Source organism: Homo sapiens, chromosome 4, assembly GCF_000001405.40.
Source record: "Homo sapiens chromosome 4, GRCh38.p14 Primary Assembly".
NCBI classification, from domain to species: Eukaryota; Metazoa; Chordata; class Mammalia; order Primates; family Hominidae; genus Homo; species Homo sapiens.
The window spans coordinates 81911708-81914717 of NC_000004.12; positions in this window are offsets into that span (position 1 = coordinate 81911708).

The following is a 3010-nucleotide window of genomic DNA, read 5'->3' on the forward strand; positions in this document are numbered from 1 at the left end:
AGCCTAGCTCGCTGAAGTTGTACATTAGGGAAACAATATTCATGTGCAAGTTTTTGTCCGGTATTCATTTATTTTCCTCTGATTCTCTTGAGCCACAGGGATCAAGGACTGGTTTTGGGTATTCCCATGTCCTACAATATATATCTCCACAAAACCTAATCTCTTTAATTTTTTCAGAATTTCCAGAAAAAACTACAAGATCTTGACCACATGTCTATGACCTTGGAATTTTCTCATGAGGATCTTGGACACCACCACTACACCTTGCTGACCTCCAAGGCCAGCTTCCCCTTAGAGTTCTGACCAAAGTACTATACAAAGCTCTTTGCTTAGTTCATTTAGGGCTACTCAGGCAGTTGGCACTTTTAAACAAAAGAAAGTAAACATAGACGGGGAACAAACCATTTTTAAGAAGCCTGACTTATATAAAAGAGGTTCCTCATCTTATCACAGTTACCTACTAACAGGACTCTAAGGTCTTGGCTGTCCTAGATCCTGTCTCCCAAGCTATCAACCATGTTAGAGCAAAAAGGCCCATTAAGCATCATGGCATCCAGCCTGGACCCTTTAACTCTCACATCCCTGTATGCATACTTCTTACCACCTACCACCAGGGACCCAAGGGCTTTCCAGTGTGCCTGGCCTCTCAGCCTTTCCCACTAATTCCCTGTGTCTAGTTTGACATTTGTCTCTTCCCCAGTAATGAATGACTGTCCTTCAGGAGAGGCAGCTGCCCTCCCCTCATACCTCCCTACACCCATTAATCTCCCTTGGACATAGGTCAACTCGGTAGTAGGCCTAATAGATATTTTACCCACAAGATAGCATTACATCTATGTAGCAAGACACACACACATAACACACCTGCCAAGATGAAAAAGAGTGAGGGAGAATGTGCAGCTGAGATGTTGCATCATACTCACTACTAAATTGTAAGAAACAGTCTTGAAAGCAGGGTCCATTTGTCAGTGTTTATATAACCCTTGATGGCCAGCACAGCATCCAGTACAATTAGGCACCCAATAAATAATTGTTGCATTAAATAATGAATGAATACATTTAATGATTTCTCCCACTGTTTAAAATCTGAAGTGAAAGACCAGTTCTGTGCTCTGACATAGCCCCTGATAAATTTTGAGTTTTAAGGAAATCCTCAACAAAGCCTCCATTGATCAAGCTCCAGGATTAACTTCTCTCTGCTGTTTACTTTCCAACACAGAAAACTTTAAATACTTTAAAATATGTAAAGTTGGAGGAATTAAATTAAATAAACAACTCACTGGCAATGGAACCACTCCAAGGCAAAGTCAATATAGATACTCTCAAAACTACACATAAAGTCACCAAGGCAAAATGAACCTCTCATACTTAAAGCAAGAAAAATATATTTAACAAGAATTAGTATTTACTGAGAACCTACTATGTACCAAGAAGTATGATTGGCACATATTTTATATTGTTTTGTTTAACCCTTACGACAGCCCTACACATTAAGAAGTATTGTCTCCATTTTAAAAAAGTCAGAAAAGTGTTTCTGTCCATAGTCACTTGTTTAAGGGGTTAAGGGCATAAACTTTTGGATCCAGACTGACTAGGTTTAAATTCTGCCGCTGCCTTTTCCTAGCTGTATGACCCTGGACAAACGTAGCTTAATATATTTGTGCCTTGGTTTCTTCATCTGAAAAATGGAGCTAATAATTGTGCCAGTTGCTAAATTATCATCGCTCATCTCCAAGCCCACGTTTCTGTTATCTGCTTTGTGATGCTTGGGGCTGGAACTCTGAGAACCACATTTCGGCTGAGTCAGCTGCTTCTTGTAATATCTGCCAGTAGGGGCGCTAGCGAGAGGGGCAGAGCCCGAGGACGAACAGGGGACTTGCTCCTTCCCGTGTGCTTCTTATGAACTTCGCCTCAGCAGTACCATCCTTTTCTTCTTCCTACAGAGCCACCGAGCCAGTTTGTAGATTTTCCAGAATCAGCCTCATTATGTGCCCCTCAGGGACACTGGCACCCGCCCCCTCCTTTTTCCAGAATCAGCCTCATTATGTGCCCCTCAGGGATACTGGCACCCGCCCCCTCCTCAGAGGTCTGAATTTCAGCTCTGTGGGGCCCTTCCTCTAAGTGTCCAGGAAGTGTTGGTAATCCCAGCTCTTTCCTTTGCTCCCTCAGCCCTGGAGACGGCAGCTGCTCCCTGGAATTGCTTGCTACCTACCTGATACCTTACAGCTCTCTTTCTACCCTTCTTTTTACCCTTTTCATTACCTCATTAAAACATTACAACCGGTTAACCAGTTAGATTCTCTTTTCCAATTATTGGTGTGGTATTCTCCTGACAAGCCCTGAGAAACAAGAACACCTACCTCATTAGGTCACTGAGACTATTAAATGAGTTCATCGTAAAATGCTCGTATTGTACCTGGAGCACAGGGCTTGCGATATCAATGTTAGCTCTTTTTATGTGGTAAGTATTGGAGCTGGGTGGGAATCTGGGTCTGTCCATCTTCTCAATCAACATAATGTTTCTCTAACAAAAATAGCTACTGTTGACACAGGCATGGGCTTAATGCTTCCACATACGTTGCCTCTTTTAATCCTCTTCAGCACCTCTTAGATGCTTTGAATTTTTGCAGTGTTTTTTCTCTGACAGTTGGCATCAAGAAAGGTATTCTGAGTTACTATGTGCATTATTCTGAAAAGCTAGGCAAGTACTCCCATCAGTGCAAACTTCTACAGTGGAAGAATAATATGTAAATATGAACCTCTCTAAAATTAAACATGAACTTCTCCGAACTTGCCCCATGTATCACCAGGAATTAACATAATTTAAGTGTGTATGTGTGTACTCATGTGTGTTTGTCTGAGAATTAATATTTTGAAATTTCAAATTTTCTACTCTTTGAATTTCTAAACTATCAATGAAATATAGAACCTCAAAATTATTAAAAGGCTACTTTGCACCAGGTACTGGGATATAAGTGTTTTCACATATATTATCTCATTTCATCCTTAA